At 34.9% G+C, this 27,516-nt stretch overlaps 1 long non-coding RNA gene across 1 annotated transcript in view, besides 1 other annotated feature; it reads right to left on the bottom strand.

The window, feature by feature from the left end:
- Window positions 1-14,987: 14,987 nt before the first annotated feature.
- LOC105373699 (uncharacterized) overlaps window positions 14,988-27,516 on the bottom strand; it is a 54,578-nt gene continuing 42,049 nt past the window's right edge. The window contains exons 3-4 of the long non-coding RNA XR_923496.2: window positions 22,037-22,145; window positions 14,988-15,025 (exon numbers count right to left, since the gene is read on the bottom strand). This is a non-coding gene — a long non-coding RNA (uncharacterized LOC105373699). The remainder of the gene's footprint in view (window positions 15,026-22,036; window positions 22,146-27,516) is intronic.
- Window positions 19,942-20,458: an enhancer, noted in NCBI's record as "NANOG hESC enhancer chr2:156269028-156269544 (GRCh37/hg19 assembly coordinates)". NCBI's record gives its function as "activates a minimal SCP1, AML or CMV promoter by ChIP-STARR-seq in naive H9 embryonic stem cells {active_cell/tissue: H9 hESC(naive)}" and the evidence as "EXISTENCE:reporter gene assay evidence [ECO:0000049][PMID:30033119]".

Below are 27,516 nucleotides of genomic sequence, written 5' to 3'. Positions count from 1 at the left end.
ATGAATGGAATACTGATAGATGCAACAACATGGATGAATCTCAAAAGAATTAGGCTAAATGAAATAATCCAGACACAAGAGTCTATATACTGTATGACTGCCTTCATACGAACGTCTAGAAAATGAAAAGCTAGAGTTAGAAAGTAGATGAGTGTTTGTCAGGGAATGGGGAACAGGAGGAGGTTAATGACCGCAATGGCACAAGAGGAAAGCATTTGGATGATGAAAATGAATATTTAACCCCTAAAAGAGAGAAAAGGAGAAAGAACGAAAGAAGGAAGAAAGAAAGAAAGGCAGAATCTCCGTAACTGACTACCATGTTTCCTATAGCCTGTTTATTTGATGACCCTTTGATTCTGAGATACCTAGCATCTTTTCAATAAAATCTACTTTTTGTTTTAATTTTCCTTAAGTTGGTTTTTGTTATTGGCAAATCATCTTGGTTCATAAAAGCGGTCCCAGCGAGTTAGGTGTAGGAAATAGAACTTCAGGGAAATGTACAGCATTTGGTGTTGAATAAAAGCTGAGGTAGCTAAAAGGAATTGAGATTTGGAAAAATTGGAAGTTCTTGTTATATAATGTCAGAGAGATAATGGAGCCTCATAATTCTTTCCTTAGACCAAGTACTCACTAGTAGTGAAATTCTAGGTGAGCAAAGAGCTGCTACCATAAAATAATTTGAAGTGGATAAGGAATGTTGGCATAACCAACCTCGGAGGGTCACTTGGGATGGCATTGGATAACTCAAAGTGAGAGAAAAGTAAAATAAAATCTGAAATTTCTTAATTTAAAACATTAAATGAAACATAGATCCCTTTTGTGACCATACTGAAATAATTTCTGTTTGTACAGAGTTTTAATGTTGTTGCTGTGCACCAAAGCCAGAGATTGTGTTCCATTATATTCAAGATAAAATTCACCAAGATGGCTGAATATAAAATTAACACACAAATTCAATAGTTTTCCTATTTAAAAATTAATACATTTATTAGAAGAATTACCTACAGTAGCAAAAGAAAGATGACTTACATAAGAATAAGAGGAATTAAGAGAAAATGAGCAAAATCACAATGTAGTTGGAAGGGCAAGAGCAAGAAGTGTGGGAGTGAGAAGAGGGAGGTAACAAAACTATCGGTAGCAGCACTTCTCCTCAATTTCCTACCTCTGATCATTTCGCCTACCAGCTACATCTCTGATTGCAGGACACCCAAAAGCCAAGCATTAACTGCTTAGACCAAAAATGGAAGAAAGAGTACATGCAACAGAGATTTTTATTTTTTGAAGAAAAGGAACTTCTAACTGTTGGGGAGCATTAGGGTAACCGGTGTGAGTGTGTTTACCAGAGAATAATGCTCGTTGTTTTGATATTCCTGGGTTTTTCATTGTACTGAAATAAAAAAGACTGGTTGACCTTTCATCTTCAAGTATAAAATCTTGTTAAAAGCCCTTCTTTTTCCTTAGTTTTAACTTGTACTTTCTGGAAACATTAGGAAAACCTGTAACTCAAAAAAAAAAAAAAAAAAAAAAAAAAAAAAAGGCCGGAAGCAGTGGCTTGCGCCTGTAATCCCAGCACTTTGGGAGGCCGAGGTGGGCGGTTCAGTTGAGGTCATGAGTTCCAGACCAGCCAGGCCAATATGGTGAAACCCTATCTCTACTGAAAATACAAAAGTTAAACAGGCGTGGTGGTGGGTGTCGGTAATCCCAGCTACTCAGGAGTGTGAGGCAGGAGAATTGCGTGAGCCTGGGAGGCAGAGGTTGCAATGAACCGAGATTGCACTCCAGCCTGGGTGACACAGCAAAACTCTGTCTCAAAATAAAAATAAAATAAAATAAAAATAAAATAAAATAAAATAAAAACCAAGGTTTGTTTTTTGTTTGCTTGTTTTTTAAAGACAGCAAAGGCATTCTAATGTAAGCAATACTAACGGACTGAAAAATTTCCACAGTAGCCCCCAGCTACTCACCTTTAGTGAGTTTCTTTCATATTTTAGGAATTGAGAAATGCTACAGGCCCCAAATAGAAAAGTTTTATCACAGTTTCTCAAAATCCCAAATGAGTAGCAGACCCTGTACTTGAACTTAGGTATGTTCACATCCAAAGATGGAAATTTATTTTACCAGTTTTAATATCTGAATACTCCTCTCATTTTAACAAAAATTCCTCTTGCTCACTCCTATTCCTGATACTACCACCTTACACTTAAAATAGCAACAGCTTTTACAAGGGGTCTTTAATCTTCAAAAGAAAGGGTATGAGATGGTTATAAAGATGACTTATAAGAAAACTTACTTAAGATCATCAATTTGGATATCAGATCCAAGAACCAAATTCAGGTTTTCTGACTCCAAGTACAGTGATTTTTTTTCCATTAATTAAAAAACGTCATTGACTATAAAGAAATTTAAATTTATTTTTACTAACACCAAATGTTAGGGTTTATATTCAATGTTTTGACTATATTCATCTGCCAGTCTCTGTTTACCATTATTTTTAATGATAACATTGATATTTAAAAGTTTTGTAGTCTCCTAAATTTTTAATAATATAAAATCTGCCTCTTCTCTTTCTCTAGGAAGTCTTTTAATAGTCGATTATTGTGTAAATCAATATGACAATAAATAAAAGGACATTTTAAATGGTCAGGTTAAAAATTAAAAGATGGCTGAATCACACAGAAAATGCATAAATTCACCACAAATAAATCAACCAAGTTGACTGTAGATCGATTTCAACTATGTTCTTTCAAAATAAGAAACACTGAACCTGTAAGAGAGTATACTTGGATAAGATAGTGATGCTTCTTTTAAATAATAAGATGAAAACATTCTCTAAAGCACAGAGGTGCTTTAAATAGGAGACCCACTTTAAAATTTTTCTTCTTTTGTGTAGTTTTGCCATTCTGAGCTTTTGTGACCCTTTCTTTTCATTTTCTTACCTTCCAAATGGCCTAGCCTGGCCTTGTACTCAATCTCACTTACATGAGCAGGTCTTTTACATAGAAATGGTTAGCATCAGAGGAAAAATCTATTCACCAAAGATAATTGAAAATTCCTAGGTGCTTCTCCATCTTGTTACCCTTCAGCTTTCTTCTCCAAATCCATTATTTTGGAAAGTAAGTTCTGTCCAAAGCATAGCTTCTCAAGTTTGATTCTCCATTTAACCAATGGCCCTCCATTATTATAAGCTACAATAGAGGTCAAATTACAGATAAAAATCTTACACTTCACACATACAGTGATATCCAAAAGGGGAAGTATTATTTGACTTTATAAGGAAATGGAGGAGAAGAACTATCCAACCCCACATTTTGTTGCCATAGCCACAATTGTGTAGTATGTGTGAACATGTATGTACATACACTATGTTTAAACTTTTCTATAAACCTATCATTCATTTTGTTATGTTTGGCAATTAGATAAATGCAATTCCTCATATTCAAAAGAATATACAAATTCACCTTTAAGTGGATTTGGGGAACCTTATGGCTTCAAGTAAAAAAAAAAAAATGTCATTATGTTTCAATGACAGGTGCTAAAAAACTCTATTTACTCTTTTTAATGCAGAGGAAATCAGGAAATTGATATAATTTTGTGGGAGTTAACCAAGTAAATGACTTTCCTGGGCTTACTGACTCACCTTTCCTATAAACAGCTTCCCTTATATTTAGGTGATTTAGTGGCAAGAAAAATCTTGGTAGATGGTTAAGGCATTAGCAAATAAGCATTACTTGTACACAGGAGTTCTATCCTCACTCTGAGGTGAGTACATACACAATAGGGCAAGACAAGGTTATTGTCCTTACACAGCTATGACATAGATAGGGAGAAACTGATGAAGTTTATGAAGTAATTACAGAACAGTCAAGTGTAAAATAAATCCAAAGAAGAAAAATTAGTGAAAGTGGAAGAAAGCAGATAAAGTTTCTTTGACAAGGTTAACTAGAAGGAGAAGAAGAAGGTAAGGAGGAAGAAAAAGAAATGATTTTTAAGAAGCACAGACTAGGCTGGGTGTGGTGGCTCACACCTGTAATCCGAACACTTTGGGAGGCCTGGGTGGGCAGATAACCTGACGTCAGGAGTTCGAAACCAGCCTGGCCAACATGATGAAACCTCGTCTCTACTAAAACTACAAAATTTAGCTGGGCATGGTGGTGTGTGCCTGTAATCCCAACTAACCAGGAGGCCGAGGCAGGAGAATCGCTTGAACTTGGGAGGCAGAGGTTGCAGTGAGCCAAGCTTGCACCACTGTACTCCAACCTGGGCAACAGAGTGAGACTCCATCTCAAAAAATAAAAAATAAAAAAAAAAAAGCTCAGATTATGTACAATGCTTTATTATTGGCACAATCATAGTCCCTGAGCTGGGCCTATGAAATGAAGGAGCAAGAGAATTCCATGAAAGAAAATAGCAATAGTTAAGATACAAAAATTGACCTAAAGAGGGTAGATTCTATGGACAAGAAGCATGCTTGCTTTCCTGAAATAAGGCGATACTAACATGGGATTACAGAATAAAATATGGATAAACTGTGGGGCAGAACAAGCTATATCATTTGTGAGGCCCAGTGCAAAATGAAAATGCTGGATGTTTCTTCCAAAATTAAGAATTTCAAAACAGTGACAGCAGAGTATTAAGCAAGCAAGGGTCCCTTCTAAGTGTGGGGTTCTGCCCACTGCACAAACCACATGCCTGTGAAGCCAGCCCCACTGGGGGACATTACACAGGCACCCTAGAGTTAGGTAGAAAAGCTTAATATCTTATAAGCAATGGGGATCTTGCAACAGAGAAAATATGCTTTAAGAAAGGTAATGACTTGCAATTAGTGACTTAAGATATTCCTGGCAGCAGCACATAGACTGAATTGTGGAGAAGCCTCAGACTAAAGACAAGGCAAAGAGTTCAGAGATTAGTGTAGTGACATAGCCTAAGGAAGATGCTTGCACCAGGACAGTGGAAATGGAAACAAAGAAAAAACCGAACATTGGATATATAGAACACCATGATTCTTACAAGAAAAAATTACAAACATAGAAGTTTTTGTTTTGTTTTGTTTTGAATTGGAAGGCTGAGGAAACAATGGTAAGACACACAAAAGAGCAGCACTCTGGAAAGGTGCAGGCATTGGGTGTGAAGTTAATGACATCAAGTGAGTAGTTGCCAATTTAGGAAAAAGTTTAACATTTACATCAGAATTCAGCTCAATTTAAATAATTTCCTGTAAATGTAGACATAATGGAACACACTGCTTTAGAAAATGGTGATTTCTTATTACTACATGTGTTCAAATTTTTGACCACAGTATCAGTTTCTTATTACAGCTCTAACAAACGACCACAAACTTGGTGGCTTAAAAGAGCATCCAGTAATGGCAGGGCTGTGTTCCTTCTGGAGATAGTGGGAGAAAATTTGTTTCCTTACATTTTCCAGCTTCTAGAGCCTCCTTGCATTCCTTGACTCATGACCTTGTCCTCCAACTTCAAGGCTGGCAGTGTAAGGTAGTGAAGAGCTAAGGACATGCCATCCCAAAATGTGCTGTTTTGGCATTTTGATTTTTAGCTGAAGTCACTTGAGAAACAGTAGATACGGGACAGGCTCTTTGATCTCTTTCTTTATGCCTAAGAACAGGCCATAAAACTTCCCATTAGAAAGGCGTACTGAGAAGAGACCATGCAATCACCAAAGACTGAGGGTTGAGGCTGAAGTGGATGTATATAAACACACTTACTAAAATAACCCTGATCTTACCCTAGCCCCATCACTTCACACATCTCCTAGCCAATTCCTCATAATTCACTACCCTTCACCACAACTCCTTTGTCCTCTTATTTCTTCATAAACTTATCATTTATCTAAAAGTTATAAAAACTTTATGCTCTAATCACTTTTTCAGGTATTCATTCTGTTGTGAAGGCTTTCAAGTACATGTAAAAATTTATTAAAACTTGTATGCTTTTCTCCTGTTAATCTATTTTATGTCAGGTTACCTCTAGCCCAGCTGGAGACACTGAACGGGTAGAGAAGAATTATTTCCTCTCCAAAAGTTCCATCTTCAAATCTCTCTCTCTTTCTCTCTCTCTCTCTCTCTCTCTCACACACACACACACACACACACACACACATCCACACACACACCCCTTTACTTTTGTCTTCTTTTCTGACTCTGACTCTCCTACCTTCTTTTCTTTTCAAGAGTCTTGTGATTGCATTGAACAGCCCTGGGTAATCTAGGATAATCTCTCCATCTCAAAACTTTTCAATCACATCTGTAATATCTCTTTTGTAAAGAAAGTTAGCATAGTCACAGGTTCTGGGAATTTGGATGTGGAAATCTTTGAGGTGGGTAGTCATTATTCTGCCTACCACAAAAGATGTTAGTGATTGCTATTTATTAAGTGTGTAGGCTAACTCTCCGCTAGTTTTATTTAGCTATAAGATTCAATGGTTATAAGAGACTTTCTGCAATATAAAGAAAGTAGGAAAATGTAACATGAACATAAGCCCGAGCAGGATTATAGGTTGGATTTAGCTGAATTTAAGCTATTACTCTGAATCAGTTTCCCAATTGTAGGAGTAGATAAGCCAATAGCACATTTCGGGGAGTTAAAGGTGGCTATGATGGTTAGAGGGGAAAAGTGGTAAGAGGTATAAAAAGAAAACATAAAATAATGATATAGAAATGTATGGGATAAATTTTTAGACACTGGTCATATGTCTGATCCCAGAGAACATTTAACTTATAGCATAAATAAGAATTGTAGGACATGATATTTTAATTTTCTAGGATTTCCAAATTGATGCCGCTGACTGGTACAGCAAGAAGCAAAACATAATTCAGGAATATCATTCATCAGATAGAGAGGTGGGTGAAGATATCGAGACACATAGGATGAACTCAATGGAAAGTCATAAAGAGTAATTTGCTCAACATAATTTTATTGTGAGAACAGCAAAAAGAAAAAAATGACACAGAGAGAGAGCAAGAAAAAACAATATAGAATCATACAAAACGCCTCTGGTTCTGAAATCTTATGCCAAACTACTTTCCACTTTAAATGAAGAAAAGTTTTCAGAAAAGGAGTGGATGGGGATTATTAAACATAGAATTATTTTGCATAGTCCTATTATGTATATGACAACTGCCTGAAACATTGTCCAGGGTAAGAAAATAGGCAAAAGAAGAAAAGAAGAAAAAAAGTACTGGGTGTCCTTTCAGTGGAGCACTTGGCATTTGCTATTGAATTCTCTGGGAATTATATGGCTCTATATATGTGTACTTTTGATCATCTTTCTATTAACTAGGTTAGTTTATATCTCTGTGGGGCCAGCTCCACAAATCAAGTTGTAGGAAACTGATAGTAATGCAAGTAATTTTTATCTATAGAAATGCAAATGAATTTTGTCCAAGAGCGATACAATTGATTTCTATCCTGTAAAAGTTAACTAGACTAAGAGAGAAGACCCAAATAAATAAAATCAGAAACAAACAAAAAAGAAACATTACAATGGATATCACAGTAATATAAAGGATCATTAGAGACTATTATTAACAACTATATGCCAATAAATTTGAAAACCTAAAGGAAATGGATTGCATTCCTGGATACACACAATGTACAACCAGGAAGAAATGGAAAACCTGCACAGGCCAGTAACATGTAATGATATTGAAGCAGTAATAAAAAGTCTGCCAACAAAGAAAAGTTCTGGACTGGATGGCTTCACAGGCTGAATTGTACCAAACTTTTAAAGAAGAATTAATACCAATTCTTCTTAAACTATTCCAAAATATTGAAGCAGAGGAAATTCTTCCTAACTCATTCTACAAGGCCAGAATGAACACAACATGATAAAAATAGATGCAGAAAGCCTCAACGAAATACTAGCAAACAAAATCCAACAACATACTGAAAAGACAATCAATGAAAGGATGGTTCAACATATGCAAGTCAATAAATGACATACATAACATCACTGAGATGAAGGACAAAAACCTTCACATTGATCATCTCAATAGATGCAGAAAAGGCTTTTAATAAAATTCAACATCTTTCATGATAAAAACTTTTAATGAATTAACTATAGAAGAAAAGTACCTCAATGTAAAAAATGTCATGTATGACAAATCAACACCTAATATCTTACTGAATGGGGAAAAAGCTTTCAGAATCTGAACAAGGCAAGGATGCCACTTTTACCACTGTTACTTAACTTAGTACTGGAAGTCCTAACCAGAACAATTACGCAAGAGAAAAAAGTAAAATGCATCCAAACTGAAAAAGAGGAAGTCAAATTTTCCCTCTTTATAGACAACATGATCTTCTATATGAAAATCCTAAGGACCCTACCAAATTACTCTCGAAACTGATAAACAAGTTCAGTCAAGTTGCAGAATATAAGATTAATAAACAAAAGTCAGTAATGCTTCTACATATGAACAATGAACTAGCTAAAAAAGAAATCAAGAAGGAATTCTGTCTATAATAGCTACACAAATAATAAAATAACTAGGAATATATTTAACAAAAGAGGCAAAAATCTCTATAGGAAAAACTACAAAACACTGATTAAATAAATTAAAGAGGGTACAAACAAATGGAAAGACATCCCATGCTCTTCCTATGGATCTGAAGAAATAATACCATTAAAATGGCAATACTACCCAAAGCAGCCTACAGATTCAAGATAAGCCTTATGAAATACCAATAACATTCTTCACGGAAATAAAATAAACTGTCTAAAATTTTTGTGGAGTCACAAAAGACCCCAAAGAGCCAAAGCAATTCTCAGTGAAAAGAACAAAGCTGAAGGTGTCACACTACCAGACTTCAAAATATACTGCAAAGCTGAAGTAACCCACAGCTACACACTGACATAAAAATAGACATACAGACCAGTGAAACAGGATAGCAAACCCAGAAATTAATCCAAATATCTCCATCTAACTGATTTTTGACAAAAGTGCCAACAGCATTCACTGGGGCAAAGACAGTCTCTTCAATGAATGCTTCTGGGAAAAGAGGATAACTATACGCAAAACAATGAAATTAGACTCCCACTTCTAACCCTATACAAAAAAACAACTCAAAATGGATCAAATACCTAACTATAAGACCTGAAATGCTCAAACTAACAGACAAAAATATATTGGAAACACTTCAGGACATTGGTCTGGGAAAAGATTTTATGAATAAGACCTCGAAAACACAGGCAACAAAAGCAAAAATAAACAAATGGAATTATGTCAAACTAAAAAGCTTCTGCACAGCAAAGGAAATAATCAACAGAGTGAAAAGACAAAGTCTTGAATGGGAAAAAAATATTTTTAAACTACTCATTTACCAGGGCATTAATGTCCAGAACGTACAAATAATTCAAACATTTCAACAGCAAAAAATCTCCGATTAAAAAATGGGCAAGTGATCTGAACACACATTTCTCAACAAAATATATAAATGGCCAATAAATATATTTTAAAAATGCTAAACATCACTAATATTCAAGGAAATGCAAATCAAAACCACAATGAGGTATCATCTCACCTCAGCTAGAATGAATTGGTATTATCAAAAAGACCAAAAATAGCAAATTCTGGCAAGGATAGCGAGAAAAGGGAACTCTTAGACACTGTTGATGGGAATGTAAACTAGTATAGCTACTATGAAGAACAATATGGAGGTTTCTCAAAAAATTACAAATAGAAATACCATATGACCCAGCAATCCCACTACTGGAAATCTATTCAAAGGAAAGGAAATCATTATATTAAAGACACATTTGCACCTCCATGTTTATTGCAACACTATTCACAATAGCCAAGAGATGGCATCAACCTAGGTGTTCAAAAACAAATAAATGAATAAAGAAATTGGTAAATATACATTATGAAATACAAGTCAGTCATTAAAAGAAATAATGAAATTCTTTCAATTGTGGCAAAATGCATGGAATTGGAGAACATTACATTTAGTGAAATAAGCCATAAACAAGAGGTCAAAAATTGCATGTTCTTGCTTTTACCTGAAAGCTAAAAAATGTTGATCTCATGGAAGGAAAAAGTAGAACAGACGAAACTACAAGCGTTCTACTAGGAGAAAACAAGGAATAAGAAAGATTTGTTAAAGGATATGAAATTACAACTAGATAGGAGGAATAAGTTCTAGTGTTCTATGCCACCGTAGGATGAGTATAGTTAACAATAAATACAAAGTTTCAAGTAGTTAACAGGGAGATATTGAATGTTCCAAAAGCAAAGAAATGATAAATGTTTGAAATTGTGGATATGGCCAATTATCCTGATCTGATCGCTATACATTTGTGCATCAAACATCACTTTCTGCCCTGTGAATATGTACAATTATTATTTGTCAATTAAATAAAACAATATTAAAATACAGAAAAACTAACACATTAAAAAATTATGACCCCAAACACTACATTTAATAGACCCTTAAAATATTAATCAGTTTTGCATCCGTTAGTGTTTCTGATCTTACACACATGCATGCACACACATATAATCCTCAAAATCTTTGAACTTCTTTTAATAGCTTACTGGTTCCTTCATTAATTAAGGAGTTGACTAAAGTCTGTTTTTTTTGTGCTAAATTTATATTTGTATGAGAGTTGCTATGGTCTAAATATGAGGGTCCCCCCAAAATTGTATGTTGAAATCCAACTTCCAAGGTGATGGTATTAGAAGGTAGGACTTTTGGGGAGGTGATTAGGACATAAAGGAGCCCTTAAGAATGGGATTAGCACCTTAATGAAAAAGACCCCAAAGAACTGCCTTGCCCTTTCCACCATGTGAGAACACAGCAAAAAGGTGCCATTTTTGAGAAAGCACATTCTTACCAGTCACTGAATCTTGATCTTAAACTTCCCAACTTCCAGAACTCTGAGAAATAAACTTCTGTTGTTTATAAAATACCCAGTTTATGGTGAGATGAGCTCTGATTTACAATAGTTTGACTTAAATTTTTGACTTTACGATTGTGCAAAGAGATATGCATTCTGTAGAAACCTTACTAAATATGAGTACTCATATAACTGTTCTGTTTTTTACTTTTAGTAAAGTGTTCAAAAATTACATGAGACATTTAATACTGTATTATTTTTTAAAAGGCTTTGCTTTAGATAATTTTGCTCAACTATAAGCTAGTACAAGTTTTCTGAGCACATTTAACGGTAGCAGGCTAAGATATAATGTTTGGTAAGTGTATTAAATGCATTTTAGCATGATTTTTTCAACTTATAAGTTTATTGAAATGTAATGCCATCGTAAGTCCATCTGTATTTTGTTAAAGCAGCTCAATGGACTAAGCCAAGAGTCATATTTACCTTTTTGAATATTTATATTTTAACATAACCCACTAGGTATAATACAGATGGATAAAACAATCATTTTAGCAATTTCAGTTTTTAAGACATGAATTTAAACAAACATTTGAGGGCAAAAAAGAACCTGAATCTGTAACTTGAAGAACCATGTTCTCCAACCACTGTCTGTATAGGTATTCCAAAACATAAGCTGATTTACACGGTTCCTTATTCATCATAATATTGATTCCAAAATTCTCTCCATAAACACTTGGAGGGATCATTATAAATTGCCTCAATTGTCAGAGGGTCAATATTTCTTAAAGAAATTTTGTTTTGGGGTTTTTGAGTTATTTCAGGAAAGAAGCAACATATTTTGAAATATCAATACTTTTTCTTTTGCAGGGAGGGGTCATGTGTATTAAAATGAAGCTGAGCATCAATTATAATTGTATTTCTCCCCACTTAATCAGAACATATTATTTTGGTAAAGGAATGTTTTTGGTCTCAAACTTCATTCTCAAACGTGTGCAATCAAAATAAATGTAAGAAGTGCAAAGTAAGAAGACATTTGATTTTTTTCTTTGCTTAACTACTCAGTAAAATTGTTGTTAGTATCATATTGCCATGACACCTTCGTGTTATACAATAGGCATATACATTTTCTTTAGAAAAACTAAATTCATGCATCTCTTCTCTCAATTATATGATTTATGTAATTTTGAGAACACAGAAGCTCTGCAACAAAACATTCAATAAATTATTTAAAAGTGCTGAGAATTGCTCTATGGCAGTGAAGAGCTAAATAAGGATCATCTAATTCCATCAGTTGTTAACATATAAATTCAAAACAGGAAAAATTCTACATATAAGTATTTTGTCCAAAATTAGTGTTTTTCTACTTGTAAGTAGGTCAGAAGAGCAAAAAAGATATAAAGTTTGGATCTACCACACTTTATACTTATTTATTGCTCAATATTTCCATAACTAAATTTGTTAACCTGAATATAAATGTTTCAAACAGGAAAACAAATTAGCATAAAAGAAACTAAAAGAATAACAAATATATGAATACACATAATCATATTCACTGGAAAGAAAGCGCAGATTAAACGGTACTTACCTTATCATTATCACACACATGCACATAAATATATATACAGTAGTGACACATTTGGGAAAAAACATGGACAAACTGAAGAGTTCAGAAGAAAGGGTTGATGAAATGTTTGAAAAATAAGAACTATGAGGAAAGGTTAAAAGAACAGGGCACGTCTGTCAAATGAGTATACTAAAGGGATAATATGATATTTATCTACAAATACATAAAGAGGTGATAGAAGACAACCATCAATTATTCTCATTAGTCGATGAGGAGAGAATAAGAATAGACAGTTTGAAAGAGGGTAATCATGCAAAACTTAAGAAAAACTCTAAACAAAGGCTGTAAATCCAAAGAACTGGCAATTCTATGGCTATAGTATCTGTCGTTATTGAGAAGCCAAGATTGATGTTAGATGCTTATTAAGAAAGGCTCATAAATAATTAAGTTAAACCTGCCTTACCTCAAAGAAGTTAATAGATGTAAACGAAAATCTTCCTTCCAATGTTGAAATCCAGTTTTACTTCTTTCTCTCACTTATTGAGAATTAGCTGACTTTAACCTTCTAGTTTATATTTAAAACTACTTGAACTATTTATTTATTTATTTACTTTTTGAGACTGAGTCTCGCTCTGTTGCCCAGGCTGGAGTGCAGTGGTGCGAGCTTGTCTCATTGCAACCTCCGCCTCCCGGGTTCAGGTGATTCTCCTGCCTCAGCCTCCTGAGTAGCTGGGATTACAGGCACCTGCCACCACCCCCAGCTAATTTGTTTTTTTTTTTTTTTTTTTTTTGTATTTTTAGTAGAGTTGGTGTTTCACCTGTTGGTCAGGCTGGTCTCGAGCTCCTGACCTCGTGATCTGCCCGCGTCAGCCTCCCAAAGTGCTGGGATTACAGGCATGAGCCACCGCGCCCAGCTGAATTTTTTTTTTTTAAGTAGAATGAAGTACAAAATAAAATTAAAAAGAACGTATACTACATTGAATGACAGATTAGCAAATACAAGCATGATAGAAAATGATTCATGAGTTTTTTCTGGTCTGGAAACTAAAAGTGTATTAGTTTTCCAATATATATGTATTAACTTAATACACCAGACAATGTAACAGGCATTAATATAAATTCTTTGGAAGGGCAGAATTCAAATACAGTTCCCTGTTTTTCAGTATCTCTGGTATTTTATATAATGATATGTCATCTAATGACTAACCATCTCTCAAATAATATGCGCTGCTTGCAAGGAAATCACATAAAGCCATTCTACTAGGAAAATAACAGATTCAGTATGAGATATCTTCTATACCATTAGTAAATCACCTTTACAGATGGAGAAAAATACATCAAACTTGAGCAAAATTTTGAGATGATAATTAGGGTATAAATAACAGACAAAACTAACAATTTGTATTTCACTAATACAGAATTCATTAGTTGACCATAAGCTGCCAGGAATGTTATTTTTGCCTTGATACATTTCTTTCTTTTTAAAGAGAGTAAATTAATAATGTAAATAAGATTGCAAGAGGATCCTTGAAAATACTTAGTAGAACAAACTTTCTAAGCACCCTCAAGCACTTTAGAAGGATCTATTTCCACACAATTGATATGCTAATTACAAACCATTAAATCAAGTCAAGGATGTGTATTGGATAACACTTTGTTAGTTTAATGTGAGTTAATGTACGTACTTGAAATAATAGAACTCTGTTCCTTTTTAAAATAATATACCTTTACACTTTTTTTCTTAATTGAGATTAAGCTTCCTCCAATTAGTACAGATTAATGACATCTTACAGGAGTCAATATTTAAGAACCAAGAGGCATTACTGACTCTTCTATAACCTATTTATGGTCATAAAAGGGCTTTAAGTTTGGGAAAAGCAATCCTAGAGTTGATACTTAATACGATCTTACAATTGAAATAGTACTTCCAAACACAATAAAGTAACAGATATGACAAATTTGGATATAATCCAAAATAAAATCATTAATGATTTTTACATATATATATGCCTAGCAAATAAAGGAGAATGGATATCTTTGCTAGTCAATGTTGAGAGAAGGCAACTTTTTATATATAAAGAGATTATCTAAGGAAATAATGAGTCTCTGCTCCCACATCTGTATACATAAGTATAGGCCTTCCTCCTCTCTTACTCGCATACATTAATAAAACAGTATTAAATCAAGGGTAAGGCGGAGACTTGGCTAATTTACACATCATTATAGCCTATTTTTACTGAGGGAGGAGGGAAGTGGGGGAGGGGCAGGGCAGTGTAGAGCAAATTTAAGAAACCCCACAGTGCTTTCATCAGCATTACTAGTTTATTGTCCATCGTAAAAATATGTGGTACACTGGCTGGGGGTGGTGACTCAAGCCTGTAATCCCAGCACTTTGGGAGGCTGAGGTGGGTGGATCACCTGAGGTCAGGAGTTTGAGACCAGCCTGAGCACATGGAGAAACCTTGTCTCTAATAAAAACACAAAATTAGCTGGGTGTGGTGGCGCATGCCTGTAGTCCCAGTTTATCACGAGGCTGAGGCAGGAGAATCGCTTGAACCTGGGAGGCAGAGGTTGTGGTGAGCGGAGATCATGCCATTGCACTCCAGCCTGGGCAACAAGAGTGAAACTCCATCTCAAAAAATAAATAAATAAATAAAACATGGCACAGTAAAGGTTATAGACTTTACTTCTAAAGAGATGTTTACGAACCAGGCTGAACAACACTTCTCTTTCAAATAATTGAAGGGATATACTAACTATATACTTTAGTACATCTGACAGATGATAGTACAACTTTTAAAAAACATTTTGTTACATGAAAGTTTCAAAGAGCACCAAAGTAGAGAGGAGGGTAAATGAAGATCTCTTTACCTGTTACCAGATTCAGCCTTTAATCAAAATTTTGCTGCGATTATTCTCTAACTCCTACAGTTGTGGCTCTCTCACTATTACTTTCTCTCTCTTGATTTCTGCCGTGTTCGTTTTTGGTGAGTTACATAAAACAAATCCCAGAGATTATCTCTCACCTGACATCTTTTGCTGTGCATCTCTTAAAAATATGGACAATTTATCAATAATAACTGTTACTTTTTTATAATACATTTACCATTCTAATTTGCTTCCTACGTGTCTTTGATAGCAACAGGAGGCAGAAAACCCCTAGGCAGAGATGGGAGGGTCCCCAGTGAAATCCCACCTTCAAGTCAAGGACAGTTGGAAGCCAAGCTACAAATCTTGGGTAAGTTCATGGACCAGATTGAGAACCTCTCTTCCTGTTTGGCATGTTTTCCTCTGATTGATCCCCACCCTTCACCTATTTTACATACACCTATCCTTCCCTAATTGGTTTGCTACACTGTTGTACCCACCTTTGAGTGGTGCTTTTGTTTTAGCTTTTTTTTTTTTGCATACTCACAAACCAATCAGCATGCACCCCCATTCTGAGCCCATAAAAACCCTGGATCCAGCCACACTGGGAGAGAATCCACCCAACTTCAGGTGGGGACTACCCTCACATGCCCTCTCCACTGAGAGCTGTTTTGTTGCTCAATAAAATTCTTCTCCACCCTCCTCACCCTTCAACTGTCAGCATTTCTTCATTCTTCTTGGATGTGGGACAAGAGTTTGGGACCCACCAAATGTGGGTATAAAGAGGGCAGTAACACTGTGGTCCTCTGCTCTCTACCAGTGGAAGGAAGCTGCCCCACATGATGGGAAACAGCAGCAGGGCCAAGACAGCCCCAGAGTCGTGGGCTGGAGTGGGGCAATGGGGTTGACAGAGTTGTAAATGTTCCACCATCTGCCTGGGCAGGGGCGTCACCGGTCAGAGGTCTCCAGCTGGCAACGTTACTGAGAAAAATCCTGTGTCATCTTTGCTCTACCACTTACATGGTTAGTAAATAGCTAGAGGGCAATGCCTTCATTTAGGACATAATAAATGATATCATATTGGCAAATTGTACTTTTCTTTTGAGGAATTTGTTGTGAATGAAATGCTTTGTTCAAAACTATTTCAGTTTTTGTGCTATCTGATTTTTTTAAACACGTAAAAATGTTGCTAGCTACTGGAAAAGGGAAAAATGTATTTAAAAGACAGAATCACTATCTACCAAAAACTTGGTACCATTCTGACCTCAGCAGAGAAGGAACATTGTTATCAAAATTTGAGCATATTCACAATTGCTTTAACTCAGTCAAGAAATAAAATGTTTCTCATGTTTAGCATGTTCATTTGTTTATCAGTTTTTTCTTCTTTCCCATCATTTAAAATGATCCAACAAGAGACCATGTTTTGAAATCATGTTTTTCAGCTCATCACCAAATTTAATTTTGTATCTTCTTTATTTGCTCTTTAAAGTAAAAATAGCAACTGTACCTTTAAATGATTCTCCCTGCATGTTGTTCTATTTAAATATTTTATGTATTTAAAAACAATATAACCACATTAATATTTATTTAGACATTTTTAGTAATCGTTTTCTTTTTCATATAATGAGAGATTACCATAGGCTAATTCAGTGAATGAAGCATTTCACATACAAATTTTTGCATTATCTGATAGGTTTTCATATGTAAATCACATACATCTGTTTATCTCTGGTGAATGGTGTCAAATATCCTCAGTGCAAAATGCACCTTATAACATTATGTTCCTAATGACTTTTCTTTTCCCAAAGAAAAATTGGTTATTTGTGCCAGATATTTAGAAATTGTCATTCATAAAGAGCTTTTTTGTTTGTGTTGGACTGCATCAGGGTAAAAAGGAAAATTAACTCTGAGGTGAATTACCATTATATTGCCATTACACAAACCTTAAGGGGTTTTATATTTAAGATTAGAAGATCTCAGGAATACATACATTTGAAACACAGAAGGTGGAATGTTTTGATAAAAAAAAATTCCACTACATTTAAAGGGTTTTATTAGACATCAGGCACTTAAATCACGTTTACAAACATGGAGAGACAAATGCTCAAACATCTGAAATAGTCTCTTTGCACTCTCAAGTCTTCTTTGAATTCACCATGTGGGTGAAATCAAAGCACAGAACAAACACTGTTTTGATATGGCTTTGAAGATGATAACAGCTTCTAACAGAGAAAAAGGCAGCTTTGGGTTCGCAGGAAAACGATGATTGACGTGACTCTCAGCCCAAGAAAGTTTACCTTTTAATGAGTGCGTGGTGAGAAGCTCTCATCCCATGTTTTATTTTTGAGGGAAGCTGCCTAACTAGAATAGATCTCAGACATCTACAGCTGCTATTCAGGATGTAACACACACTCTTTTAAGCTGCGACATCTTTTGATCCAAATGAGCACATGCAGGATCCAGATGTATACAGGAGAGTTTAAGGTGAACTAAGGATTAGAACTTTTTTCCCATGATACGTAAGCTTTTCTATCAATCTATGTAATGTGGTCCCCAGACACAAGAGCTTAATTAATACTCTAGTAATTATTAAAATAATGGTCACAAGAAGGCAGAGATTTAATTTTCTTATCTGTTGTTGTCTTTCTCTTTTCTTTATTATTTGTTTGACCTTGGAATCTTTGGTGTTGGTAATAGAAGTGTTAATCAGCATCCTTGCTGCCCATCTTCCCCGAGAAAATCTTAGTCATAAAGAACCTTCCTATTTTTTGCTAATCTTGTTTTGAAACTTCCAACTTTCTTATAGATTTGTTTTGTTTTTTTAATATTTTTGAAGTCTTGAGTTTAAATTATTTTATGTTGACTCAGATTTCTTGAACCTGGGAGACAGAGGCTGCAGTGAGCTGAAATTGTTCCACTGCACTCCAACTTGGGTGACAGAGTGAGAACCCATCTCAAAAAAAAAAAAAAAGGTGCTTTATATCATGCTTGTATCTTAGGAAGATACTAAGTTTAATTTCTGTTGAATAAAACAAAAAATTATGTCCACAAACACCAGAGGTTATTACAAATTTCAAATAGTTATAGGTCCCCAAATTATCTTTAGAAATAATGACACTGTAGATAAGCAGTTTCAACTAAATTTAGTGGCAGTGACTGGCTGGATGCCCTCTAATCCTGTTTCCTACTTTGGGACACACGAGAAGAGTACATTTCTCAGTTTCTCCTGCAATTGGGATTTCTGGCCAGTGGTATATGGGTGACAGTAAGATATGCTCCTTCCAGGCTTGGAAGAAAATTTCCTATGAGCCTTTTACGTCTTACAAACAGCGGTTCACAGGCCAAATCTGATGTGACCAGACATCTGTTTTTTAATTAAAATTTCCTTGGAACACAGCTATGCCTAGTTATTTACAATTATCTATGGCTGTTTTTCTGCTAAAATGGAAGGTTGAGTGGTTGCAACGGACACCTTATAGATAAAAAGCATAAAATGTTTACTATTTGACCCTTTATAGAAAAAAATTGCTGACTCTGAGTTAGAAAGAGGATCCAAGATTGACTATTGTCATTAGAAGAAAGGAGAGTCAGTGGTATTAAGGAAGACATTTCAGAAATTTATGACTTGGAACAAGAACAATATCCATGGAATGTCTATATACTTGAGTTGCTAAAGTGGTAGCTATATAGGATAAATTGACATAAAGAACAAAGGAATGAATGACTATACGTTTTCATATATGTAAATAATGGAATCTACCCTATCAAATTACACATGCACTCATATCATTTATTTTTTCAATTAATTTTCATTTGTTTCTGTTAACTTCTATTCCCACAATGCCTGTTAGCAGAAATTTCACAATCGTTTTCTTGAGGCCTCTCTACCACCTCAAGTTGAGCAAAGACCCTATCAGTTATTCATGGTAGAGGGAAAGAATTTTTTTCTCTTTTCTGATTGCCAGACTGAGAGAAGTAGAATCTATCTTCTTCCTTTTTTCTTTTTCTTTCTTTTTTTTTTTTTTTTTTTTGAGGCAGAGTCTCACTCTGTTGCCCAGGCTGGACTGCATTGGCGCTATCTTGCCTTGCCGCAACATCCACCTCCCAGGTTCAACTGAATCTTGTGCCTTAGCCTCCTCAATAACTAGGATTACAGGTGCCCGCCACCACACTCGGCTAATTTTTTTGTATTTTTAGTAGAGACAGGTTTTCTTCATGTTTGCCAGGCTGGTCTCGAACTCCTGGCCTCAAGTGATCTTCCTGGCTTTGCCTCCCAAAGTGCTGGGATTACAGGTGTGAGCCACTGTTCCTAGCCCAAGAAGTAGAATCTTAATTGGTTCACCGCTGCTGTTATTTCTTGCAGCCACACAAGGGAGCTTTTGGAGATTCATTCTGCACACATCAATGGGTGGCATTTGTTAACACTGCTGGTATAACATTGTTTCACAATTTGGAACTCCCAATTATGATTTCAAGCTGAGCACCAAGGTTATATTAATAGTTCATTTTAGCTAACTCTTTTTTTAAGTTCTAACATTGTTACCCGTGGGCCAGTAATCTGGAAGAGCTTCTAGCATTAGCCATAAACAGGGCCAAAATCAGTTCCAACCAACAAACTCTTAGGATATTAAGGGTAAATAACTTGTCTAGATTTTTCTTCTCATCAACAAAACTTTTATTTGAGACTTGCAATTTCTTGCTTGGTCCCTGGACAAGAATGTCTCGAGAGTTACTATGCAAATAGATTCAGTCTCTATCTAACTCTGAGCTCTGCATAGGGGTGTTTCTTGCTAAATCACATGAGAAAAAAAAAAAAAAGTTTTGTTATATCCTAATCTCAGGACAATGAGTTTTTACTTGCCCCATATTTGCATAACTAAAAGGGCCACACAAATGACTGAGGGCAGCACAAAGAAGATCCATATCATGATGAACTTTCACTTCTGCAAATTCAAACAGCAGCTGCCAGCCTGGCTGGGTGTTATAGAAACAAAACCATCATAAATAACAATTCCAACAGTGAAAAGTATATACCTTTCAGCATTGGTGTATGTTTGTAAACATGTGTGTTTCTGTATATGTGTTTATGTGTATGAACCTGTGCATATGTGTCCACATATATATGTACAAAATTACATATAGTTATATTTGGATACAGATATATATATTTGATATTAATCACTTTAAATATATGTATACATATGTACATATATACACATATATACACTTATATACATATACACATATATACACATATTTACATATATGTATACATATATACACATATATACATATATGTATACATATATACACATATATATGTATACATATATACACATATATACACTTATATACATATACACATATATACACATATATACATATATGTATACATATATACACATATATACACTTATATACATATACACATATATACACTTATATACATATACACATATATACACTTATATACATATACACATATATACACTTATATACATATATGTATACATATATACACATATATACATATATGTATACACATATATACATATATGTATACACATGTACACATGTATACATATATGTATACACATGTACACATGTATACATATATGTATACACATGTACACATGTATACATATATGTATACATATATACACATATATACATATATGTATACATATATACACATATATACATATATGTATACATATATACACATATATACATATATGTATACATATATACACATATATACATATATGTATACATATATACACATATATACATATATGTATACATATATACACATATATACATATATGTATACATATATACACATATATACATATATGTATACATATATACACATATATACATATATGTATACATATATATATAACCAATTTATCAAAGTAACTCAAATAGTACTTAAAAGTTTATGTTGAAAAAAGAACATTATTTGCCCCACCTCTCTCTAATTTTCAGCTCTGCTCATTTGGCTCTTAATTATAAACTTCACTTCTATATTATTAAATAATGAATGTACAACTTGTCAAATTAAAAATAACTAATCAAATTTACCTTTTGATAGTTGCACTATTTTCCTTTATTATTTTTTCAATTGAATTAACTTGGGGTTAAAGCAAGTCAACATTTGCATTTTCTGGCAATGTATGTTGTACGTTTCTAAGTGAAGAATAATACTCTTTCAGAATTACTTTGTTTTTGTTGGATTAATAATGGCATTGTTTTTGATTTTGTTATTGGTAGAAAGTGTCCAGGTTCTTGGCGTCCTGAACAAAGAATTGGACAAAATGCACAAACAAAGCAAGGAAGGAATGAAGGGTTTCAATGAAAATGAAAGTAGACTCCACAGTGTGGGAGCAGGCCTGAGCAAATGGGCTCAAAGGCACCATTCAAGAATTTTGGGGAGTTTAAATACCCCCTAGAGGATTCCATTCATTACTTTGGGTACATCCTATGTAAATGGAGAAGACGAAGTAAAGTTACAAATTCATTTATGGCGTACACCCTATGGAGAGGATATTTTCTGTTATAGCTAAAGTGTGAATTGGCCTTACGTTCCCTGCTTCCAGACCCTATTTTCCTGCCTCGTCTCTCCCCCGAGAGATGTGATCCCCATAAATCTTTCTGGGAGACAGATGGACTGATGGTCTTTTTTCTGTAACTGCTTCTTGCTAGCTTGGGGCATAGTCCCTAACTACTGGGGATCACGGAACTCACTCTGCTCTGTCTAGTGGAGGTGGGGTAGCTTCTTTACTGCTGGAGGTGGTGTCTTCACCTGCAACTGGCTGGAACCTTTGTTGCATGATCATCTGAAGCTTGATGGTCTCTAGGCGAAAGGAAGTGAGTTTGGTTAAAAGATTTAATGGGGATTTCAGTGGGTGGATACCTATGCTGTCATAAATGTTTGTTACAGAGATTTGCAGGAGAAAAAACAAAACCTGATTTGTTCTAGAATCTATGTGTTTCCTTAAAGTCTTAGCACAAGTGACTCTATTTTGGTTTGGCTTGGTTTGTTGGGGCCTAGTGCATGAGCTTAGTCCAAAACAATGGCCTCCCAGAATTTTGTTTAAAAAATCTGGCTTTTTGGTCAGGTTCTCACTTAGGTGAGAGTGTGACCAAAACTTAGGGCCTTAGCACCACTAACAGTTATCATCATCATTTTTGGTGTCTGGCCTCAGCGCCTCATGTATAGGTTACAGAGTCCTCATGGTTGCACATTTCTTTCAGCTCCTGTTCTTCCAGTTGAAGAGAGACCTATGACATTCTAGAGATGGCTGCATGCAAGCATTTAAAACATTTGAGATAATACAGTGCACCAGGTAGACTATTGTTTTGACTATTGGGAGAATAATACCAAGAGTTTGGAGTATGCTCCTTACACCCCATAAACTAAACCTCCTAGAATCAAATAGAACAAAGAATGAGCTAGATAGAGTTTACTCATTTAACTAAGCAGTCTCCTTGTTAATCCCCTACAACGGAATTTCTATAATCTTCATTTGATGTATTTCTCCATAGGCCACAAGTGCCAGCAGCTGCACAGTTACTTCTCTGTTCAGCCAATTCTATTATTTATCATAACTTTCACAAGAGAATTTAAAGTCTGTTGTGTAATTATATTGTAACTTTGCAATATAATTTGCTATAGAGCCTATCATAAGGGATACATTTCTAATCATTGCTTAATTTTAAACCATGGAAAATGGACCTAACAAATGACGCCCTTTTAGAAGAGTGAAGGCCTTTTGGCAATGTTCTCTTTAATCCATGATGTGGATTAAGGGAAGTAAACCAATGCTTTGTTTTTGACTGATTATGAGGCAACATGTGTACCATTAAAGTTTCTTACCTGCGTTGGGCCTTCATCTTTTATATCAAAGTATAAGATTAGCTATATATAAGGCCAGCTGCAAACTCCTTAATAAATAAAAGTATACCCCATTAGTGCACATAGCAGACCCCTTTTCCACTTCTAATGTTCTTAGAGGCATAAGCAAGAAACAATATTCAAAGGTAAGAGTTTCATGAAAATAGAAGTCTTAATTTGTGAACTTGGGAAACGCTGTTCATTTCAAGAATGCCATTCTCTTCTTGGGGGAAATTTCCCTGGTTAGTTTTACCTTAAGGTTTCCAATGGGTGCACAGCTCCAAGGGCATGGAGGGACCTTTCTCAGTTGTGAGATTATGAACTCAAATTTCAAGGTCCTGAAGTTTTGTTGTAGTGCGGATGGCAAGGACAGTCTTTCTCTGATGTTTCCACAAGATTCAAACCATAAGCTTTTTTTTTGTTTTGTTTTTAACCTGGTGAAAATACACTGTAGCATAATAATCTACTCTTATCACATCAGCCCTCTTGCATGGGAAAGCTTTTATACAACCAGAAAACATGCATTGAAAGTGACAATTACATGAAATCCCTTTATAAAATGTTTAAATGGTGGAGCTATTGACCAAATATGTCTGAAGCTTTAATTGTTTTCCCAAGAATATGAGATCAAGCATTGGATATAAACTATTTTAAACAATTTCAGTATTACCTGGTTTAGCATGAAAGTATTTTCTTGATATTTAATTAACTTTTGTTTTACTTGGGTTAGTAGCTTTATACAAGAAAATTTGGTTATTTCTGTGGTTTAGAATATAACCATGTTAAATGGTTAAAATGGTTAGCATGATAACCATGTTAAATGTTAAAAATAATTGATGGCTCATTACTCAGACATTAGAATTTTAGAAATCCTATACAATTTTGGAACATATATTAGTATTACTTACAAAAATATAACCTAAAGAAGATTGAACATCATTTTGGTAATCCTATTTAACTAAACAAGTCAAATAATTGTTTAACTCTTTTCTGGATGTTTTCAGGGGCCCTCTGACCCATCCAGAAAGCCAGACATTAGGAAAAATAATTTTGAAACTGAAGTTTGGTTTTGGAATTCCAGATTACCATATTAATTACTTTGCCAAAATAGTGACTGAGAAATTTTAAAGAAATAAAAAGCTTTTATAACCTTTTATAAAAACAACAACAACAACAACAACAAAAACACATTCTATGGTTTTTACATACCTTGCTTGTAAAACTGTTTCTAGGAGTCTTAACTGCATGATACAATGGTGACTCTTAGCAATTTAACTTTAATGTAAAACCTAGTAAGTTATGTTCCCATAAGGTTTGACTATTCCAGCATAGCTAGAGGCATGGCTAACTCCACATGTCCCCAGCCCTTACCTAGCTGAAAAGCAGGCAAGTTAAACAATTTTCTAAAGCCAAAGAAGCAGTTTATGTCCGTAAAGCATTTAGCAAAGCTAATATTTGAACATAACTTAGATCACATGTTTACATTTTGAAGACAATTGTATTTTATCAATAATATTTAAAACCATCTTTATTTCCCAAAGATTACTCAAGTCACATGAACTAAATAAAAAGCATTAAGTTTTTCACTTTTCTGACAAAATATTTGATTTAAACTCTTATTATTATTAAAGCAATTACTTTAAAACTTTACAGAGGAGATTAACAGTTTGCACAGAGAGAAAGAGGCCAGAGATTGACTGGTAAGAAATTCTTACCCTTTTGCCGGCATGTCAGGTTTCTGGGTTCTCTCTCCCTGAGCAGCTGTGGTAACTCTACTTGACTGTATGCAAACAGACACTTTGCCATTAATTCAGAATATTCATAGAAGGTTTATAAATTTTGGAGAAAACTAGGCAGAGAGACAAATATGACTCGAAATTTATTTGTAAGAGTATACTCAACACACTTAAAGTATCTGGAAGCCTAAAATCCAAAAAGTTAGTTTAAGGATAAAAAAACTAGTGTGTTCCATTAATTCTGCAGCCTGACAAGGGTAGCTTAGGAATTCCAAATAAATGGAATGAATGATGACTTGCTAGAAATGCACAGGAAACAAAATAACTATTCACAGAACCAAATAAAAGCCTCCCACTAGAAACTAAAAAGCATCATGGTTTCAAATATATGGATAAACAAGCAAAGCTAGAGGAGAATAAACAGCAAACAAATGAAAATTAGAAGCAGGAACAAATGAACAAAAAACCAACCCTAAATTTTCCTACTCAATTTACCCTGGAGGCTACAGTGTTACCTAGGGCCCTAGAAAACCCACATACTGAATATTTTATTCCTGATACACAATTCAATATCCTTAAGTTGACCAATATCATTATACATTCTGTGCAATCAAGAAATCCACTTTAGACACATGACCAATAAGTACTCCAGTACTATCCATGCATAACAGTAAACACCATGTGAAACAATGCAAGCATTGTATGTGAAATTTGGTTCCACACTAAATTCAGCTTCATGTTTAACTATATTTTAAAAAGAATTGCCAAACTCCCAAAGCATTTTTACAATACTTTTTACTTTAATCAAGACTAAGAGGTTTAACTATGAAAATGTTAATTAGCCAAATGTTTTCAATTCTCTATCAGGTTTTAAAGAATATTTTATTATTAAGCTTTTCCACATCTTTCTCCCCTACTTAATGGTTCCTTACTACATTGTTGCATAAATAACCTTTTCAAATCTGTAATTTGAACTAACTTTTAGACAACTTCTGAATTAGACAAAATTTTTCTTTTTTTTTTTCACCAGTAACATAACCCTTTGTGGAACATTTTGTATACAGAATTACATGTTACCTAGAAACCTAGAACTTTAGTAAAACCCTAAAAAGCAAGAAATACTGAACTATCAGATATGGGCATTTATAGATAAGAACAATTTCACAATTTTAGAAACACACTTCCCTGTATTACAACCCTTGCTTAATTGGAAATGACAACTTACACAAAAAGTTTACCCAGAACAATTGTCCTATTCATTGTACTTAATTTTTTACTTTTTTTTTTTTTTTTTTTGAGACAGAGTCTCACTCTGTTGTTCAGGATGGAGTGCAGTGGCGTGATCTCAGCTCACTGCAACATCTGCCTCCTGGGTTCAAGTGATTCTCCTACCTCAGCCTCCCAAGTAGCTGGGATTACTTATAAGCGCCCAACACCATGTTCAGCTAATTTGCTTTTTGTATTTTTAGTAGAGACGGAGTTTCACCTTGTTGGCTGGTCACAAACTCCTGAACTCAAGTGATCTGCCGGCCTCAGCCTCCCAAAGTGCTGGGATTAAGGTGTGAGCCACCGTGCCCAGCCAATTTTTTAACAAGGGAAACTTGAGACATCAATCAACATATATAAAATGAACATTGGTTTGGTCCAGAAACAAGGGAAAACTCCAGGCCAGGAGGCTTTGGGGGCTTTCAGATCACAGGTGGGACACCTTCTTTTGAGTTTGCCTTCTTTTGAGTTTCTGATTAGCCTTTCTAAAGGAAGCAATCAGATACGCATATATCTCAGTGAGACTTTGGATAGAATGGGGGGCAGGCTAGCCCCAAGCAGCTCCCAGCTTGAATTAACACTGACATTTAAAAATATCTAGCAAAAACAAACATAAAATTTAGAAAAAATGCATGCTTACAATTCTGAAGGCATTTCTATTTTTATTCTACCAATAATTTTAAAGGTAGCTTGTTTAGTGGTTATACTTTAAGTCATGTGAACTTGAAAATTGCTTAGACTTATTTACTTAATTTATGAGTTCTCTTTTACTTATAAGCCAATTTGGTAGATACAACATATAACAATAAGTGTACATACAAATAAACACATCTAGACATGTACAATCACACATAAATGAAGATCCAATAGCTTGGAACGTTAGCCATGAGATAGCAATACAAGCTTGCCGGCTTTGCTTTGTGCCAGTAGACAATCCAGTGAAAGCTGAGAACCAAAATTTCTGGTAAAGCAGTCTCCATGGCAGTTTGATTTTTAAAGGCCAAACCTCCCCAGACTCTAAAGAGACCTGGGGCCAAACAGTACCAAAGGAGGACATCACATGTCAACCAGGCCCCCTGCTTAGAAATGCAGCATGAAAGCCTGGGTACATGCAAAGCCAGTCCACTTTCCCATTCAAGAGTGAACTCCAGATTTCAAACAATGTTGGGGCCAAGCAGCATTGCAACTGCAATATAAAATTCTAAGGAGAGCTTAATATTAGACCTCAGAAACTCTGCCAAGAGCATCCTCTTTGGAGTGGTTGGGGTCCACAGAACCCACAGAGCATCCTCTTGTGGGGTTCAATCTTAGAGTTCCAGATGTCTCTG

Source organism: Homo sapiens, chromosome 2 (assembly GCF_000001405.40).
Source record: "Homo sapiens chromosome 2, GRCh38.p14 Primary Assembly".
Lineage (NCBI taxonomy): Eukaryota > Metazoa > Chordata > Mammalia > Primates > Hominidae > Homo > Homo sapiens.
Note: the sequence above shows the minus strand (reverse complement) of the source record. Positions and strands in the feature narration are given on the sequence as shown.